The sequence below is a fragment of the Homo sapiens genome, chromosome 8, assembly GCF_000001405.40.
Source record: "Homo sapiens chromosome 8, GRCh38.p14 Primary Assembly".
NCBI lineage: Eukaryota > Metazoa > Chordata > Mammalia > Primates > Hominidae > Homo > Homo sapiens.
Window position 1 is genome coordinate 81051953 of NC_000008.11, and position 20934 is coordinate 81072886.

The window sequence follows — 20934 nt, forward strand, 5'->3', positions numbered from 1 at the left end:
ACCCCGTCTCTACTAAAAATACAAAAAATTAGCCGGGCGTGGTGGTGGGCGCCTGTAGTCCCAGCTACTCGGGAGGCTGAGGCAGGAGAATGGCGTGAACCCGGGAGGCGGAGCTTGCGGTGAGCCGATATCATGCCACTGCACTCCAGCCCGGGCGACAGAGCGAGACTCCATCTCAAAAAAAAAAAAAAAAGACTATAAACTATTAAATATTTTTATATCCTTAGTCACGTCCTCATTGTTGAAGAAAGTAGTTTCCAAATTTTCATTTTCATAGCTAAAACCTATTTAAAGACTTGAAAGTGATTTTTATGTGATACTCTGTGTCGAGACTTTAAGTGCCACCTCTAGCTTAGGTGGGAGGCCAGCCAAGGGCACCTGCACTCCCAGCAGAAGGCAGAGTGAAATTGTAAGTTCAGTAGCCCCCACCACTGCATGAGGCTAGTTGACAAAAACGGCATTGAGACATCCTTAACTACTTACTTTTTTTCTTCTAAGTATTTCAGCTATTTTGCAGACTGATGGTGGGTGGCATTTTTCTCTAAAGCAGAATGTAAAATCATCCTTAATTTGACAGTGATTGAGCTACACTGCTTCTTTACATGTCTGATCAAAATATAGCTTTAAAAGTCTACAGATAATTAAAATTTCAGGAAGTATTTGGAGAAGCTTATTAATATATTACATAATCATTAACCACAGAAATATATTAATCTTTAAGATCAATTGTGAGCACCGGGAACTATTATTCTTGGGATTATTTTGTGTGAACAAACCCAAATCCCTGTGCTACACAAAAGCTAATGTCTTTGCTCAGAGGATTAGAATTAATTTATTATCTCTGCTTTTGACTTAAATGCTATAAACATCTCTGTTGTTCTTGGAAAACAAAGGCTGCTCCTGCATAATTTTTCAGATAAAGAAACTGAAATTAAAGTACTATGAAAATATTTGCTGGATAGAACAAATGCCAAGATCAAAGATGATAAGACAATGAGCGGATATTTATTATCCCCACTAATCCTTTCGTATTTCAAAGTTTATTTATTTTTACAATGCTCTTCTGTGCTCTTCATCAGTTATTATAGCATAATTGTAATTGTAAATTCATAAAAGAGAATGCAGAGTTAATAATATCATAAGCTTTGGAATAATATTCAAGTGATATTGATAAGAATGAACATGAATGTATTATCTGAATATATTATTTGGATGAACAAGAAAAAATGATAATCTGATGTTAGAATTTTAACTTCTTACCCTGCCAGCCAATGAGGCCCTGAATAAAGAATAGAGATTTAATTTTAAAACATTAATGACGAATAACTTTGAAGTGACAACTCAATAAGTCATAAACCTGTGTTCTTTTCCATATATTTGAGTAATGGCTACACATTTTACAATATTCTGACTTTCTAGCATTCTTTAATTCTTACTTGTGAAACAGTATCTAAAGTCGAGAAATGGATTCATATTTCCATGGCTTACTTGACAGAGACAGACCATAGTTATTTCTCACTGAATATACCTTAAAGCAACTTCTGACAGACTGTCAAAGGAATTTCTGGTCTAATCGCACATGGGGACTGAGAATACTAGAATGATCAGCATTGGTTACTTAAAAGCCTAGGTTACTGTCTTCAAAAAGTGTATGTATTTAGGATAATCAATGAACAGCCCTTTTGAAGACATCAGGCATGAGCAATAAAAAGGGGAGATACACCTTGGGCATATGGTGGTGTCATTAACTGGGATAGGAAAGTCAGGAAGAGGAACTGATTTCAGGGTGGGAAATGGACATTTGAAGAAATCAGGTTGGAAAATGTTAATTTTAAGGTAGATATGGGGCATGAAGAAATTTGGTGGGTGGCTAAATTTAGGAATCAAGATCTTATGAGAAAGGTTGAAAGTAGTGAGCAAGATCAGGGTATGCGAATGCTTTCTGTAAAGGGCCAGAGAGTAAACATTTTAGGCTTTGCAGGCCATAGGATCTCTCACATCTACTCACCTCTGACACTATTGCACGAAAGCAGCCATCAACAGTAGCTAAAGGACGAGTGTGCCTGTGTTCCAATAAAACTTTATTTACAAAAATAGGTGCCAGAATGTATTCAGCTTGCAGGTCATAGTTTGCCAACCCTAAATTAGATGGCAAATGAAGCCCTTGGAATGGACAAGATCACCCAGGAAGAACATATGTACGTAAGGCAAATTTCTATGCTAAGAAATTTGAAAACATGTAATTGTGAATTCCCATTCTGTTCAATAAGGATATATCCCATATACAAGGCCTTGCAGTCAGACAGATGGTTCCAAAACGTTGGCTCTGATTTATACTGACTGTGTGAGAAATGGGGCAGGTTATTTAACCTCTGAGGCTCAGATGCCTTGACTGCAAAATGAGGATAATGACTCTAACAGCTAACACGAGGCACAGGGTTCAAGAGTATATCAATATTTTCCTGTAATCCCAGCACTTTGGGAGTCCAAGGCGGGCGGATCACGAGGTCAGGAGATAGAGACCATCCTGGCTAATACGGTGAAACCCCCTCTCTACTAAAAATATTTTAAAAATTAGCCAGGCGTGGTGGCAGGCGCCTGTAGTCCCAGCTACTCGGGAGGCTGAGGCAAGAGAGTGGTGTGAACCTGGGAGATGGAGCTTGCAGTGAGCCAAGGTGCGCCACTGCACTCCAGCCTGGGCAACAGAGCGAGACTCCGTCTCAAAAAAGAAAAAAAAAAGAGTATATTAATATTCCTATCAATCCTCAGAATGAGATACTATTATCTGTTTTATAGATGAGTATACTAAGGTACAGGGGGCCGGAAAACATGTCTAAGTGACACAGCTGGTAAGTGGTGAAAGAGGTCTGATTCCAGCCCAAGGAGTCGGCCCTATACTCCTCACTCTCAATCATACCTACATTTCAAAAGCTCATGATGAAGACTGGATGGGAGAAGGGGGAAACTTTTATCACTGCCCTTGGTGGGTAGAAAGAACCCAATGTGGCCATTATAATTATTATAACCTTGAGGCACATCAATAGATTCAGGATACAATGACTAAGCCAAGGTCAGTCCTGTCCAAGACACTAACTCATCACTGAATTAATTTCTTTTTTTTTCTTTTTTTTTTTTTTTGTTGACACAGGGTCTTGCTCTGGAGTGAGGCAGTGCAATGATAGTTCACTGCAGCCTACAACTCTTGGGCTCAAGCGATCCTCCCGCCTCAGCCTCCCAAATAGCTGGGACTACAGGAATGTACCACCATGCCTGGCTAATTTTTAATTTTTTTTTACAGAGACATGGTCTCACTATGTTGCCCATATGGCAGTGCCATTAACTGGGATAGGAAATTCAGGAAGAGGAACTGATTTCAGGGTATAAAATAAACATTTGGAGAATTCAGTTTGGTAAATGAATGAAATGAATGAATTCATCCTGGGGTTCATTTTTTTTTGAAAAATTAAGAACTGACTTTAATTCCATCTTAGCAATAACTGATAGTTAAATACATTTAATAACTGAGTATGTTTCTGGGAAGAAAGTCACTGGTAGCTTGATGGGGATGGCATTGAATCTATAAGTTACCTTGGGCAGTATGGCCATTCTCACGATATTGATTCTTCCTATCCATGAGCATGGAATGTTCTTCCATTTGTTTGTGTCCTCTTTTATTTCGTTGAGCAGTGGTTTGTAGTTCTCCTTGAAGAGGTCCTTCACATCCCTTGTAAGTTGGATTCCTAGGTATTTTATTCTCTTTGAAGCAATTGTGAATGGGAGTTCACTCATGATTTGGCTCTCTGTTTGTCTGTTATTGGTGTATAAGAATGCTTGTGATTTTTGCACATTGATTTTGTATCCTGAGACTTTGCTGAAATTGCTTATCAGCTAAAGGAGATTTTGGGCTGAGATGGTGGGGTTTTCTAGATATACAATCATGTCATCTGCAAACAGGGACAATTTGACTTCCTCTTTTCCTAACTGAATACCCTTTATTTCTTTCTTCTGCCTGATTGCCCTGGCCAGAACTTCCAACACTATGTTGAATAGGAGTGGTGAGAGAGGGCATCCCTGTCTTGTGCCAGTTTTCAAAGGGAATGCTTCTAGTTTTTGCCCATTCAGTATGATATTGGCTGTGGGTTTGTCATAAATAGCTCTTATTATTTTGAAATATGTCCCATCAATACCTAATTTGTTGAGAGTTTTTAGCATGAAGGGCTGTTGAATTTTGTCAAAGGGCTTTCTTCATAGAATTGGAAAAAACTACTTTAAAGTTCACATGGAACCAAAAAAGAGCCCACATTGCCAAGACAATCCTAAGCCAAAAGAACAAAGCTGGAGGCATCACGCTACCTGACTTCAAACTATACTACGAGGCTACAGTAACCAAAACAGCATGGTACTGGTACCAAAACAGAGATATAGACCAATGGAACAGAACGGAGCCCTCAGAAATAATACCACACATCTACAACCATCTGATCTTTGACAAACCTGACAAAAACAAGAAATGGGGAAAGGATTCCCTATTTAATAAATGGTGCTGGGAAAACTGGCTAGCCATATGTAGAAAGCTGAAACTGGATCCCTTTCTTACACCTTATATAAAAATTAATTCAAGATGGATTTAAGACTTAAATGTTAGACCTAAAACCATAAAAACCCTGGAAGAAAACCTAGGCAATATCATTCAGGACATAGGCACGGGCAAGGACTTCATGTCTAAAACACCAAAAGCAATGGCAACAAAAGCCAAAATTGACAAATGGGATCTAATTAAACTAAAGAGCTTCTGCAGAGCAAAAGAAACTACCATCACAGTGAACAGGCAACCTACAGAATGGGAAAAAAATTTGCAACCTACTCCTCTGACAAAGGGCTAACATCCAGAATCTACAAAGAACTCAAAGAAATTTACAAGAAAAAAACAAACAACCCCATCAAAAAGTGGGCAAAGGATATGAACAGACACTTCTCAAAAGAAGACATTTATGCAGCCAACAGACACATGAAAAAGTGCTCATCATCACTGGCCATCGGAGAAATGCAAATCAAAACCACAATGAGATACCATCTCACAACAGTTAGAATGGCAATCATTAAAAAGTCAGGAAACAACAGGTGCTGGAGAGGATGTGAAGAAATAGGAACACTTTTACACTGTTGGTGGGACTGTAAACTAGTTCAACCATTGTGGAAGACAGTGTGGCGATTCCTCAAGGGTCTAGAACTAGAAATACCATTTGACCCAGCCATCCCACTACTGGGCATATACTCAAAGGACTATAAATCATGCTGTTATAAAGACACATGCACACGTATGTTCATTGTGGCACTATTCGCACTAGCAAAGACTTGGAACCAACCCAAATATCCATCAATGATAGACTGGATTAAGAAAATGTGGCACATATACACCACGGAATACTATGCAGCCATAAAAAAGGATGAGTTCATGTCCTTCATAGGGACATGGATGAAGCTGAAAACCATCATTCACAGCAAACTACCACAAGGACAAAAAACCAAACACCACATGTTCTCATAGGTGGGAATTGAACAATGAGAACACATGGACACAGGAAGGGGAACATCACACACAGGGGCCTGTCGTGGGGTCGGGGGAGGGGGGAGGGATAGCATTAGGAGATATACCTAATGCAAATGACGAGTTAATCGGTGCAGCACACCAACATGGCACATGTATACATATGTAACAAACCTGCACGTTGTGCACATGTACCCTAGGACTTAAAGTATAATAAAAAAAATAACTGAGTATGTTTCATGTGATTATTAAATTTTTGAGAAATGTTTGGAAAAATAGTATCACTGGTAAAATGTACTAGAATATCAAAGTCCAGTCTTTTACTTATAACGTAAATCCCTTTTTCAAGTTAATGACTTTTCTTGTACTTCTTTCCACCATATATATAAATCCTTTGGTAGCCATTGTTTTACATATCAATAACAAAAGCAAAAATAACTCCAGTTCCATTAGTTAAACTCCTTGTCTAGCAGAAGGGAGTATTTACTGATAACAGTAAATACTGCCTTAAGGGAGGTATCAAAAACTTGCCAAGAGATGTGACATGGAAGGGATTAGGGAACTTTTTGCAGAGGAAGGGAGATTTGAGCTGGACATTGGTGCATATATAGGAATTGTTTGGTGAGAGATTTCTTTGTTCATTTTTCCCCAATCCTAATCTTAGTTCCTGCTAAGATTAAATGAGTGTTAAACCATAATCTACCATGGACCCAAAAAGGGACCTGTAGATTCTTATAGCAGTTTTGAACAACAGCAGCACAAAGAAAAGAAACCATCCTTCTGCAGGTTTCAATGTGTGTACATAAAGGAGAATAAAGCAAAATTTACTAGGAATACTTGGGAAAAACAAATTAAAAAATGCCAGGCAAGTGGTAATAAAAACTGATACTATTTTCTTTCTTAACATCCCCACTTAGGGGAAAGACAGACTGAAAATTAACAATAGAATTGATTTGGGGGTCCTTTTAAAGCTGGTGGTGTGTGCCTGTAGGAGGCTAAGGCAGGAGGATCGCTTGAGCCCAGGAGTTGGAGGCTGCGCTGAGGTATGATTACACCATTACACTCCAACCTGGGCACCAGAGCAAGATCTTTTAAAGCTGGTGTTAGAAATTCAGGCCAGGCCTGGTGGCTCATGCCTGTAATCACAATGCTTTGGGAGGCCAAAGTGAAAGGATCACTTGAGGCCAGGAGTTTGTGACCAGCCTGAGCAATATAGAAAGACCCTGTCTTTACGAAAGATAAAAAAGTAGCCAGGCATCGTGGCATGCACCTGTAGTCCCAGCTACTTGGGGAGGCTAAGGCAGGAGGGTTCTTTGAGCCTAGGAGTTGGAGGCTGCACTGAGGTATGATTATACCATTGCATTCCAACCTGGGCAACAGAGCAAGATCCTGTCTCAAAAAATAAAATGGATCTTCTTAACTCAATAAGTGTTCTATATAACTATTTCTTTAATAATAATTGTCAGCATCTTAAATATATACTTCATTGCAAAAGGATTAAATACAGTTGTTCCTTGGTATCTGGGGGACTGGTTCCAGAACCCCCCTCAGATACCAAAATCCCCAGACACTTAAGTATATATACTTAAGTATATATATAGGCATAGTATTTGCATATAAACTATACACATCCTCCCATGTACTTTAAAACATGTCCAGATTACTTATAATACTTAATACATTGTAAATGCTATGTAAGTAGTTGATATACTGCATTGTTTAGAGAATAACAAGAAATAAAGTTTGTACACATTCAGTACAGAGGCAAACATTCTTTTTTTTTTTTTCTTTGAATGCTTTGAATTAGAGGTTGGTTGAATCCATGGATGTGGAACCCAGAGATACAGAGGGCCAACTGTAAATGTTGTTTCTGTTTAGATAAAAATATTACAGCATTTTATAAAATTCAAATATGCCTGGGGTGTTATGTTACTACCAGAAATTGAAAGACCAGTATTTACAGCACAAAATTAAACATACCTCCTGCTTGGAAGAAGTAAGTCAGGGTTTGTTTGCCTGGAGTCCTATAGATAGGTGCCAACAGGATCTTGGCCAACTTTCAGAGGGTCTGTAAACTACCTGCAATTATGTCAAATTTTCTGTGCATGTGTCTTTCTTCAGACAGTCTAGAATATTCATTAGCTTCTCGAAGGAGTCTATTATCTCCCCATAGCTAAATCAGCCTCTGCAAAAAGGTCTCCCTAAAGCACACTTATCTTGCTTTAAAAGCCTACGTATTTTGGGGCTGGGTGTTGTGGCTCATGCCTGTAATCCCAGCACTTTGGGAGGCCAATTACTTAAGGTCAGTAGTTCGAGACCAGCCTGGCCAACATGGTGAAACCCCATCTCTACTAAAAATGCAAAAATTAGCTGGGTGTGGGAGTGCACACCTGTAATCCCAGCTACTTGTGGGGGGCTGAGGTAGGAAGATTGCTTGAACCCAGGAGGCGGAGGTTGCAGTGCGCCGAGATTGCAATACTGCACTCCAGCCTGGGCAAAAAGAGTGAGACTCCATCTAAAAAAAAAAAGCCTAAGTATTTTTTTAACCCCCTGCCTCTGAAAATAATTAAAAAATCTGATTATCCATCCAAATTAAGCAAGTAAATATTTGTGTTTCTGCACTGGACCACTGGCATTAGATCAAAAAATCAAAATTTTGTCCATTAGTAAGAAGGCAGGGTTACTCATTCTTAACTTAGCATTGTAAAACAATTCAGTGTTTTCAGGCATCTAGCTTTTTTATAAAACTCAAAAGAGACAAAAATCAATAAATACCCTGAGCTAAGGACTTCTGAAATGTGTAACTATTAATTAGTACACCTAACTTTTAAATTAATCTATACAATTAACTCTACCTAAAAGTCAAAGAGCAGAGCAGCCACGGATGTTTTTCTTACAGGTTGATTATTTTTTTGAGATAAACCACAGCAAGTTGATGGCAAAATTAAAGGACTGAGAATTCCTGCTATTCCATTCACAGGCAATAATCCATTCTTTTATAAATGAAAGGTATTTTAGAATAGAAGAAAGCTATTCTTTCCAGAACAAAATAAATTTCTCTCAGGGATTAGATTTTGGAGACTTTATGGCATGTACAAAAGGCTTTTGATATATCCCCCTGCTAATTTAATTTACTGCCTTTGCTCTGTTAATGGCCAGAACTAGTTTGGAATACCTTCTCTATATTATTGAAAATCAATGAGCAGGAGTCTCACTAATACTTTGAGGCCACTAATGTATAAGAGGTCACTACTTCAAAGTGTGAAAGATGGTTGAAAACAAGTTGAGCTTAAATTAGGGAGTAAGTAGCAAAGGCTCTGAGATTCAAAAGCTGTTTTTTGTTTTACCTGAAACTATCCAATAAGCATTACCTTTGATGACCACAGAACCAACATTTGCTTGTGTTAACCTGACATGAGGGCCCATAAAATTGTATTTAACAGGCTCTACAGCAGCCTCTCTGCTCCCTTGAAAGAATAGCTTCATTCATACACATTCCAAATTATATCTGTTTTGCATAAATTAAGTAGACTTTGTAGAAAAGACTGGATTTATTATCATGTAAAATACAGCCATTAGCAGAAAATCTAGTAACTCTATTCCCAGACATAACAAGATTAGACTCAGGCTACTGGGCTGGAAGTCGGGGGATGAGAAGTGAAGTATTCTTAAAGCCTTCCTTCTTATAGCATTACTCACGGGGGTAAATTAAATAACAGTACTAAAAAAGGAAGCTACAACATGCTATTACTCAGGTCTACCATCAGAGCAGAACATTCTGGCCAATTGATCTTGAGGGTTAACACCAGCATAGGAAAGACTTAAATGTCTACACATTTCTCTCTCAAAACCTTTCTTAAGCTCTCTTGTGGCTGGAAAATTTGATAGGACTCACTTGCCACAAATGCTCATCATGTTGACATACAGTAGTTGTGTTATCATCATACTAATCAGATGCTGCAACCAGGGAGTAAAGGCTGGTTAATGACAGAAATTCAGAGAATACAGTACCACAGATTCCAAAACAAGGGCCTGATTCTAGGCAATGATGATGAAATGCTCTCAAGGTCAGGCACAGGGGTAGGTCCAAAGGAAAAAGCCTGCATATGGAACATCTAAAGAATGCCTACTCAATGCCAGGTACAGCTCCAGGCACTCAGGACACAGGGTGAACAAAACAGATGGGGTCTTAGCACCTTGTAGGTGAAGACTGACAAAAGACTAGCACCAAAGTACCAGATAGGGAACATTTAAAACGTAAAAAAGGAAAGGTGAGAGTGTCTTATGGGGTTTCCTGAGCCATGGATGCTTGGGGAAGTCCTCTCTGAGAAGGTAGCCCGTAAGCGGAGATCTGAATGACAAGAAGGAGCCATCCTCTATGCTTTCAACCTATAAAAGCCATCTTTCATGGGAAAAGGATGATAGACAGCAAATGGGAGGGATGGGAGGGAGCAGTTTAGTCTCGTAATTCAGTGGTTTTCATCATTTTTGGTGTCTTTGAGGCATATTTTAAAATACTACATATTTATTATATTAAGAGATTATAAAACAAAGCAATTTAAAATGAGTCAACAATTACAATCCAGCCACTCTTGACACTTCAGCTAACAACACCTCAGTTATCTATAAAAGCACCCACACTCATCGCAATAGTCACCAGTCGACATCAATTCTGAGGTGCTATCTGTGGCCTATGCCACATTCTCATATACTCAGGAGGCAAACTTAACTCTGTAAAAGTAAATGGAAGTTCTTTTGTTAGCAGAAGTTTAAGAACACACTAAACTCCTTGCATTCACACTTGTTTTCTGCAAACATAACCTGTTTGGCCTAATACTTGTCTAACAACATCTTAATGGTATATATCCATTTTATAAACTATATATATTCAGCTATAAAAAATACATGTAAACATTCATATTGGCAGCATGCCTTTGGGCTATGGGGCATCAGATGGGTAATGGCAAAGGATCACATGAATGAAATCGCAAACCCATTTCTAATTTTCTAAGTTTTCCAGCTATCCCATTATCAGATATTTTTCATTTTTCACATAAATCTCAATCTTTTGGTTCTTCCCTTATAAGAAACACTAGAAAAAAAATTATTTATTTAATTTACTGCTGGCTGATTTGTCATAGTTAAAGCCACCATAGACAGGGTTAACTTTATCCTCTCAACAGAAATCTTTTTTTTTGTTTGTTTTGTTTTAAGAGATGGGGTTTCTTTGCCCAGGCTGGAGTACATAGTTCACTGCAGCCACAAACTCCAGGACTCAGGTGATCCTCCCACCTCGGCCTCTTGAGTCGATGGGATTAAGGGCACAAGTCTTTTATCAGGAATCTTCAGAAGCACATTAGCACCATAATTAAATTTCACTATGGCTGGTCTAAAATCTATTCTAGAAAATATTACAAAATTATGAGAGTTTCCTGTTTGGCAAAGTGCTATGCCACACAGCATTTTATTTATTTTAAAAATCCACTAAATAAAGGGAGAAAGGGAAGATGATGAAAAAAGAGAAAGGAAGGAAATATGTGAGTGAAGGAATAGTGCAGAGCTGCCCCTTTTCTTAGTCATGAATAACTATGAGAAACTTGGAATTTAAATATCTAAAATGAAAGCCCTATTTGGAACTGAGTCATCTCTCCCAGTGGGCCTGGGCAGGGCCATTCCAGCCTGCGTGGGTCTCCTCTATTCGAGGCTCAGATAAGGCCATGAGAGCCAGGTACTTCCTTCTTAGGGCAATATTGGTACTAAGCAGTTGAGGGAGGGTTTTTATTCCTAAAGTGGCAGGCCCACAAAAGAAGTATCTTTTTTCATGACATGAAAAAGGAATATGGAAGGCAGCCACAGCTTCATTAAACCTTGCTCAAGAGACTGGTCTGGAGCTCTCTGCGACTGAACAGGAGAGGCCTCAGTGAGCACCTCTGGCCACCTGCAAGACACAAAGACCCAACAGGGAAATTCTTTCTCCACTGGTGAGGATGGAGCTTTCATAAGACGGAGTGGGAGTCTCTAAAAAACATTTTTTAAAGTTTTTTTTTAAGTACTAGAACCTGTGGTTGATCCTAGAAATCCAGCATTCAAAATCACCTTATGTTAGTAATTTGGATGTGACAGGTGTCTGGCTGTGAAAGTATCACTCCATTAATGACCAGGTGTTTCACGAAAAGGTCATATAGGCAAAGCAACCCCCAAACACAGAAGGAGTCAAAAAACCAAAGAAGGAGGCAGACAAGTCCCTCTTGTCATTACAGGGTGATTTTATTGGGGAACTTACGGACAGGGGCATGGTCTTGGGTAGCCACATGACAAGCAGATCTCCTCGTCATTAGACCCCCAGACCCAAGGATTATATACCCAGGGAAGGGGTACACATGCTCCAGAGGAAATGAGGAGGAATTTGATCTAAGGGCAGGATTTATAGTAAGTACCAGTATGTCAAGGTTGATCTGCTCTAAGGGCAGGATTTATGGTAGGTATATGCTCTTACACAAGGAGCAAAAGACAAACTGGAGATCTCAGAGCATTCCTGGAACTGTTAATAAGAAGTCAACATGGTAGATTAGCTTACAAGATAGAATTACTTTAGCTTCCACACCGGGGTTGACTTGGGGAGCCAAGAGGACCTCTAAAGCAGTGGTCCCCAACCATTCTGGCACCAGGGACCGGTTTCATGGAAGACAATTTTTCCACAGGCAGGGGGAGTGGGGATGTTTTCGGGATGAAACTGTTCCACTAAGATCATCATGAGTGCACAACCTAGATCCCTCACATGTGCAGTTCACTATAGAGTCCATGCTTCTGTGAGAATCTAATGCCACCATTGATCTGACAGGAGGCTGGCCCACCACTCACCTCCTGCTGTGTGGCCTGGTTCCTGCAAAGGCTGAAAACCCCTGCTCTAAAGGAACCAAACACAGGGTCAAGGAGGATGACTTCCTAATCAGCTTCCTATAGGAGTGCATAATTAATTAATGCTAAAAGAGCAAAAACATACTATTAAAGAATATAAAGCAGATTATATTGGAAGAATGTAAAAAAAGACCTTGAAGGACTTGACTAAAGCTAACTAGAAAACCTAACACACAGACCTTAACATAAACGGTTAGATTCCAAACAGCTAACTCTCTCTTCTTCAAATAGGTCCTCTAGTGTGCTTTTCATGTCAGGCACCTCGGGTTTCTACTGAAGCAGAGACGGCAGCCTCGGTCCTTCAAAAGTAGTTCTTACGATCTTCTCAAGACATCCATTCATGAAGTGAATAGCAATCAATGCTCTTGGAGCTTAATGGGAAAAACTCGAAGACACTGACATGCCACCAGGTTATCTCCATGCCTGAGGCTGATGAGGCAAAGGAGAACAACTGTGACCAGCAGTGAACAGGTACTGTAGTGAATGGCATTTATATGCTTTCCCTTCTAATTCCTAGAAGCCTCCTCTGAAGAGGCTCCCAATGTAGCTATCAGTGGAGAGGAAACAGCAGAGATCCGAAGAGACAGCACCTTTAAGGCTTCTCCCAAACCTCTGGCAAGGGATCTGGGCATCCTGGGAGCCACAGACCTGGCAGAGCACCAGCTGCTCTTGGGGGGAGGCGCTCAAGGCCCCAGCCTCTAACTGGAGCTGTGTCCTCCCTGGCCCCCTTGGTGTCCTCAATGGCACAATTTCTAAGAAAACTGTGTGGCTCCTGGTAGCTGAGCTAATCATCTGCAATGTTTTCACAGAGAAGTCACAGGCTTTTAAAACTGGAACAAACCTTATTCTTCATGAAGAAATAATCCTCACTTCTGCATTCTTTTTTTTCTCTTTTCACTTCCTTTTCTTCTTCTTCTTTTTTTAAATATCAACTAGTTACTTTCAAACGGAAGAGTCCTGATGTATGGAAGTCTATGGAAATCAAGAAGTGAAATCTGCCAATTTCTCACAAACTCACTGCTGTTTAAATTAGGGGAAAAAAACAACAATATAAACAAAATGTCCCAAAGAAGTTCAGAAACTCGCCATAGGTCACAAAGCAGCCAAGAGTGGATAATGAAACTAGCTTTTACGTCACCTGACTCTCCAGCCAGTTCTACTGTGCTAAGATCAGACTGCTAATAAAAAACTGGATATTTAAAATTCCAAATGGTGCCATTCTACCCATTAGAAGCATTTTTCAACCATAGGGAAAAAAATCAGTTAATGTTGAGGGAAAAGTCAGGGCATATTTTCTTTAAGTTAAAAAAGTCTAACAATAATTTTAATATCATAAACACTTTTAAAACAGAATAGACTATGTATTTTATATATATATGTATATATATGCATGTGTGTGTATGTGTGTATATATATGTTTATATATATCATATATATATCATATGTCATATATATATATCAACAAAATGAGTACACTTTTAGGATTACACTTGACTTACATGGCCTAGCTACACAGAGAGCTGTTACATGTACTATAACACACCAACAAGTACATAGGGTTATTCCAAAGTGAATGAAGTATCCCAAAGTGAACATTCTCATGTTAACTGCCCCTTGGGCAGAAGTGCCCATCCTTTGGGCCAGGGAGCAAAATTACAGGGGACAGATCAACAGGGCCACTACATCCTTCCGGAGCAAGCTGACATTTGGTGTCAACAAGAGATTGTGGCTGAAGCTTTGATTCTATCCAGCCTGCTGTTCCAATAACCCGTTGTGCATCAGACACAATCATGGCTTGGCTTCAGTCACAATGTATTTAGGTCCATTTGCAAAGTAGCATAGAAAACAGAGGAGTAAAACTTAACGATATGCTGAAATGTTCCTTTTACACTTGCAAGCATCGCAAATGCACTTTTTCAGGCTTATGAGGATACCCTCTAGCATCAGAACATGGATTTTTGAGTGTTACAAAAGCTCTTCTTATTGTGCCTGCACCACAGATTTACACTGCTGTAACTCCTGTCAGACATCATCTTAGCTTTATGAATAAATAAAACTATGCCCTAGGGAAACATTGATTTAAGAGGAAAAATCAATACCCATCTAGCATGCAATAGACTTGAGCTTTAAGGCAGCTTATTCCCAAAGTACAATACAATATGAAGTGTAAAACCATACTTTTTGCTTCCTAATAAAGGATAAGTGAGAATATGTGAAATTGGCAGGCAAATACTTGCTTTCCATAGTCCTCAGAATATCAAGAGTCATCTTTTCCTCTTAAAAGTAGCTTAGTTGATATTTCAAAAGAGGAAAGAGAAAGGGAGAAAGAAAAAAGGGATAGGTGAAGCCATGGTGGCAAAATCTTGATACTCTGTGAATCTAGACTGTGAATATGTAAGGACTCAGTGATTCTCTCGTGTGTGTATAAAATTTTTCATCATAAGCAGTTTAAAAGTATGAGGCTGGGCATGGTGGTTCATGCCTGCAATCCCAGCATTTTGGGAAGCCAAAGTGGGAGGCTCGCTTGAGCCCAGGAGTTTGAGATCAGCCTGGGCAATATGGTGAGACCCCATCTCTACAAAAAATAAAAAAAAGTAGCCAGGCATGGTGGCACGTGCCTGTATTCCTAGCTACCTGGAAGGCTGAAGTAGGAGGATCTCTTGAGCTCAGGGGTTTGAGGCTACAGTGAGCTATGTCCAGCCTGGGCCACAAAGTGAGACCCTGTCTCTAAAAGCAAACAAAACCAAAAGGAATTTAAAAATTATGTATGTTTGCCTGGGAAAAATTCTCAGGGAAAAGTACCAGCCAAGATGCTAACAATGGTTCTCTTTGGGTAATGGATTCACAAGGAAACTTTTTTCTTCCTTGAGAGTATTAAATTTTCCAACTATCGTGACTATGTATATGCTTTATAGTTCAGAAAACACACACACACAATAAACACAAGGAAGGATAGCAAAAAGAAAATGAAAGATTAATTAGACTGACTGCAAAGTATTTTGTTGACTACTGGCCTAGAGATAGCTAAGATTTATACTGTAACATTTATATTCCAGGCCAACTCTTTCTTACTGCTCTTGGATGTTTTTCAGGGCATAAGCAGGCTGCTATTAAAATTGACTGATTTAAAAAATAAAGCTAACAGCTTATGCTGAAATTAACCTCGTCTTTGTGAGCCAAAGATCAAATGCGAGACAAAAGCTGGCTAGAGTCATCATTTCCTCAGCTCTGCAATCACCTTACAACTTAAGACCATTTTCACAGTGGAGACAGTTGTTAAAAGTTCTGACAAGCCCTGCGGTAACCTTTGATTACAAAGCCACTCCAGAAAGCCAAGGCTCTTGCTTAGAATTGGTTTGAATTAAAAATGAATCCCATTATTTTCCCCTAGCTCCTCAAAGACGCAGTTCATCACTAATTGTGTTAACTCTGGCCTCTCAAGAAACACACTTATTTGTTAATTCAGCTTAGGAGTGCACATCTCCCTGGACGGTTGCTGATTCTGTGTTCTCTTTGCTTGTGTTTCTCTTTTTTGGGGGGCAATCCTAGCTCACTGAAACCTCTGCCTCCTAGGCTCAAGCAATTCTTGTGCCTCAGCCTCCCAAGTAGCTGGGATTACGGGTGTGCAACACCATGTCCGGCTAATTTTTGTATTTTTAGTAAAGACGGGGTTTCACCATGTTGGCCAGGCTGGTCTCGAACTCCTGGCCTCAAGTGATCTGCTCGCCTCGGCCTCCTAGAGTGCTGGGATTACAGGCGTGAGCACTGCACCCAGCCTGCTTTGCTTATGTTTCTAATAACTGGAAAGAACAACTATGGAAGTTTGAAATACATTTCCAAGGCACAGGCACATTGGAAGCCTGAAAATGGGTTGGGACAATTTAAAATTTTGAATTTCAAATTAAAACATCATAAAGTCGCTACTATTACCACTAAAGTTGGTGCAGATACTGTCTGAATCTACTTCCACTGTGGAAATGACACACAATTACAAGTTTCAAAAGAATGTAGCCACCATGTTAGTTCTGATCTCAGCAGAAGAGGGAAAGGGGACATAAATTGGTTTTGGTGGCACTTCTTTAATGTGGCGAAAATAACAAGCAAAGCATTATTGTTGAGAAGAATGCTTATATCTAGTCAGAAAAAAAGCTCAGCTTGAGATAAATTACTTTTCATGAATTCTATCTTCTTTAGTGTCAGAGATATATTCATTTAAAGAAATTAGAGCATTCACTGTGTGTTACTATGCTCCAGGCATTTATTAGATGTTGTAGGTACTAAAATAAGATACAAACATTGACCTCAAGCTTAGCTTCTATAGGAGGGTCAGATGGAGTAAAACTCAAGAAGTCAGCCATGTACAAAAAAGTACCACACAACGCTTTCCAGAAATTGGGAGGAATGTGATTCTATTACAGAAACATGTGATGCCTATTCTAAAGTATATAGATTCTTGAGTTAAATCTTCATTACCCCCAACCGGAAAATGCTCTACATTTCAGGCCATAATGTGTGTAAGGCGAGCAGCTCTAGTGGAAATGGAAATGCATTAGAGAAAATGTCTAATCCCTGAATCGAGATTCTTGTCAAATATTAGGAGATCAGAGGAAGGCGTTTTTAGAATGTGGATAATCAAAGGTCTTAATGCACTGATTCTTTAGCCTAAGTTAACTAACAAAAGGCAGGCTGATTTCCAGGATCTGCAGTTATATTTAGAAAGACTGTGGCCTCAGAGGGGAACCAAAATAACCCTGAAATAGCTCCCTGCTCTCCTAAGAGGAAAGGGTTACTCTGGCAAGAGAAGGAATTTCTCAGTAAGTTGAAGCAAAGATTTAATTAAAAGACAGTGGCCTATTTTACAAGATTCCTTTGGTGAAGAGATTGGGAAAACTTAGACCAGATGAATTCCTTTCCAGGCCATACAGGCATTGGATAATGATTTAAAATGAATATGAGTCGGGCAGGCCATAACACTTGAGGTTTGTAAAATAAATCTTTCAAATGGGTGGACATAGTGCTTCGAAGTCCAGGATTCATTATAAACACTGATAACCATTGTAGTAAATGAATTTCTAAAATAAAAGACAGAATGTCTTTGTGTTAACCTGTTCATTTAGTCTGAATGATTTTTCCACATTTGGTCTGTTCGCAGAAGATGACCCAAGGTTATTAAGGAATTATTAACATAACTTTATCATCAGCACAAAATGAGATTATTAATACCATGAATAATGATAACCAAAAACACAGCCTCGTATATTTTTGGTGGTGGTGGCAGTGAGCACTGTGTATCCTATTAATCTCTCTATCAAGCCCATGAGACTATCCAATTATTATCCCTGTCTCAAAGATGAGGAAAGAGATTGAGACAGAGTAGGCATTTAGCCCAACTTCACAGAGGCTTTACAAAGCTCAGCCATGGATGGGCTTACCACCAATCAAAGGGAAACACCATGTTGTAGGAAGTATACCCATTGGCGTCTTGGTTTCTATCGCAGAAGACCTAAGTTGCTAAATTCAAATCAGACAAGCTCATTCCCTGGATGTTTTTCAGCTTAGAAGCTGTGTGTCTGCAGACTTAACCCAAACAGAGTCTCCAAATCAACAACTGATGCATGCAAAGTTAAACTAAAAGCCAGTTTGAATGAGTAATAATGTAGAATAAACCAGATAAATAAATACTTTGAAATCACCTTTTCCCAGCAATGAAGTTGTGGCCAACTGCTGAAATAGGAGAAAAATCTCGTGTTTTCTGGAAAAGAAACACAAGAGAAAACAATTTCAAAATTCTGAACTGGATTAAAACTGCAACAATTAAGAGTAAAATGATCATCTTGTTATTTACTTATTTAACATTTGGCCAACAGTAAGCAACTGAAAAAGGCTTATTTAATTAGCTTTTACTGCTTTAATACTATAATAAAAGAATGTTAAAAAGCAAAAGCTAAAACCTGCTCTTAAAACATCCAGACCTAAACATTATCCCTAATTTTATACATGTAGAAAAGTAAAAATGATGGCATTAATTGCATGTAGTAATAAATTATGTCCATACTTCGTTTTAATCATTGCTGCCTTCTAACTCAATCCCACCAATGATAACAGTAACTAGGAGTTATCACCAGCACTGCACCTGCACACCTCAAACACAGACCCCTAGAGCCCATGTGCAATGCACATGGATTAAGCAAAAACAAAATTGGTTGTATGCCTCAAGAAGATGAAAGTCTTTTCAGCACAAAAAAAAAAAGGTGAAACAAAATTGTATAGAGACGTGATAATTGTTATATTTAGCTATATTATTTAATGTCTTCATCTTTAAATATGCTGTATTTTTGTTAACATGGCTTCTTATGCTTAAAAATAAAACTATCACTTATAAAGATCACTTCTCCAAGAATAAGTGTGATTTGAGTTTGAGGAATGTAATCTCAAATCGAAAATTCTGTTTTTGTAGAACTGTGCATCTAAGTAGACATCTGAAAATATGCTAAGTGGAAGTAAAAAGCATGGGTAGTTAAAGAATGAACCTGATAACGAGACTGAATTTTCTCAGGAGAAATATCCACTGGGGGAAACTGGTGCCTCCTCTCCCCTCTTTTCTTTTTTGGTAAAGTTTAAAAGAGAAAAGAAAGAGCTATTTCTTTTCTTTTTTGGTAAAGTTTAAAAGAGAAAAGAAAGAGCTATTTCTTAGAAGAAATGAAAAGCAAAGTAACATTTGAAAGACCAAATAGTCAAGCTGACAATAAGCAAGGTGGTAATTCCTCCATGAGCTCCAGTGTCAGACTCCACAGTGGCCAGCAAGACATGAACACCCAGACTCTTAACCCATGTGGTCTAAGAGCCGCCTGAATATGAGTACCAAGAGAAAAGTGCAGTAGAAGGTGAGAGAAGGTTCCATGCCAAGAGAGGCAGTAGAATGGTAAAGAACCCACTTGCCAAGAGTCCACACACAACGAAGAAAGGCAATGGAAACTCTCTTCTCTTGGCCTTTTGCTGGGAAATCCCACATCCTGGGCTACTAAGCATTATGGCTCAACAACACTGTGGGTGCTGGGAAATTTCCCCACCAGTCTGAAAACCTATCATTTATAAAACCAGGAGGATGCATTTCAAGCTCTAAACAATTGCATTGGGAACAAGTATTTGGGAATAGTACTTGTTCAAAAGTGGAGAAACAATTATTTTGAGAGGCTGCTAGTGGTGTCTAAAACACCACCAAATCTGTTTAATAAACACTTACTGATAAATCTCTGTGCTATATACAAGGGGCACACAAAGGCAAAGATGACAAGGCCCAGTTCAGGAGCCCAAGTTACAAGTAAGTAGCACAATACAGAGAGACGCAAGGGATAAGAGGAGTATGAACAGGTTGTGAATACAGTACAGAAAAGAACAGGATAGTTTGGCTCTGGAGGGCCCCATCCGTGCTTGTTCTCCACAGCCCTTGTGACAAAACCCAAGCCCCTGGCATTGTGACAATTTCCCCATCACAGTGCCCAGCCTGTCCAGTGTCATCTCATCATGCTCACTGCCCTCCTGAGTCCTCCGTGCTTCTGCCACCCTATCTGCTTTAGAGGCTTAACCAGTATAGAAGAGAGAACAGACCAGCGGCACAGGGGCCCACTGAGATGTGTGCTCCTTCAGCTACACTCACCAGCGTAGGTGAAGATGTGGCGTGGGGAGAGAGCTGGGTTATGCAGGGTTGGGGTTCTGCTAGTGAGTATATCTAATAAAGCACTTGTTTTTAAGCTGGAAACTGTAGTGTGCTTGTAAAGAGTCAGTGAATCCTGGCACCTGATAGGTGGGTCCCCCAACTTGTTCCAACCTCCTGTCCCACTGTGTCCTCAGCCAGTCACATCCTTCTCAATTCTCTCCTTCATTTATTTAGAGTCCAATGAGGAAATAACTATAAACACCAATGTAAAATACATGCTCTAAAACAGGGCTTTCAACCCTGGCCTTGCTGACATTTGGGGCTGGAGAATTCTTTGTTTTGAGGGGCTAGCATTTCCTGCCCTGAGTTGTAATAAACAAAAATGTCTCCAGACTTCAACAAATATCCCCTTAGGAGCAAAATCATCCCCATGTTGAAAATCACTGGTCTAAAATGAATGATGACTTATTAAAACACAATAATTTGAGCATAGTGGCTCACACCTATAATCCCAGCTACTTAGGAGGCTGAGGTGAGAGGATTGCTTGAGCCCAGGATTTTGAGGCTGCAGTGATCTATGTTGTGCCACTACACTCCAGCCTGGGCGACAGAGTGAGGGCATCTCTTAAACACAAACACATACTCACATACTCTCATATTTATATCTTAACTTTCATATCATGCAGAAAAACAGTAGTGTGGATGGGGACCATTGGAAAGGGCATAGATGAGGGAGTGGGTGCATGTAAAAAGCACCTGTTGTATTCTCAGCCCTGCATGAGGTCAGTTATCTCATCCAATACGCACAAAA

At 39.5% G+C, this 20934-nt stretch overlaps 1 protein-coding gene across 17 annotated transcripts in view, besides 1 other annotated feature; it reads right to left on the reverse strand.

Moving 5' to 3' along the window:
* The window catches only part of PAG1 (phosphoprotein membrane anchor with glycosphingolipid microdomains 1), a 144259-nt gene that overhangs the window by 84143 nt on the left and 39182 nt on the right, over positions 1-20934 (reverse strand). For 10 of the 17 annotated variants that reach the window (XR_007060746.1, XM_047421991.1, XM_047421990.1 and 7 more), the window contains 2 exons: positions 18160-18218; positions 12646-13438 (listed from right to left, as the gene is read on the reverse strand). The gene's annotated coding sequence lies outside the window, so the exon portion shown is untranslated. Of the gene's footprint in view, positions 1-12645; positions 13487-18159; positions 18219-20934 lie in introns of all 17 variants that reach the window. The other 7 variants (XM_047421993.1, NM_018440.4, XM_047421992.1 and 4 more) reach the window with 4 other exon arrangements.
* Positions 13360-13479: an enhancer, noted in NCBI's record as "active region_27572". NCBI's record gives its function as "activates an Ori minimal core promoter by ATAC-STARR-seq in GM12878 lymphoblastoid cells {active_cell/tissue: GM12878}" and the evidence as "EXISTENCE:reporter gene assay evidence [ECO:0000049][PMID:35858748]".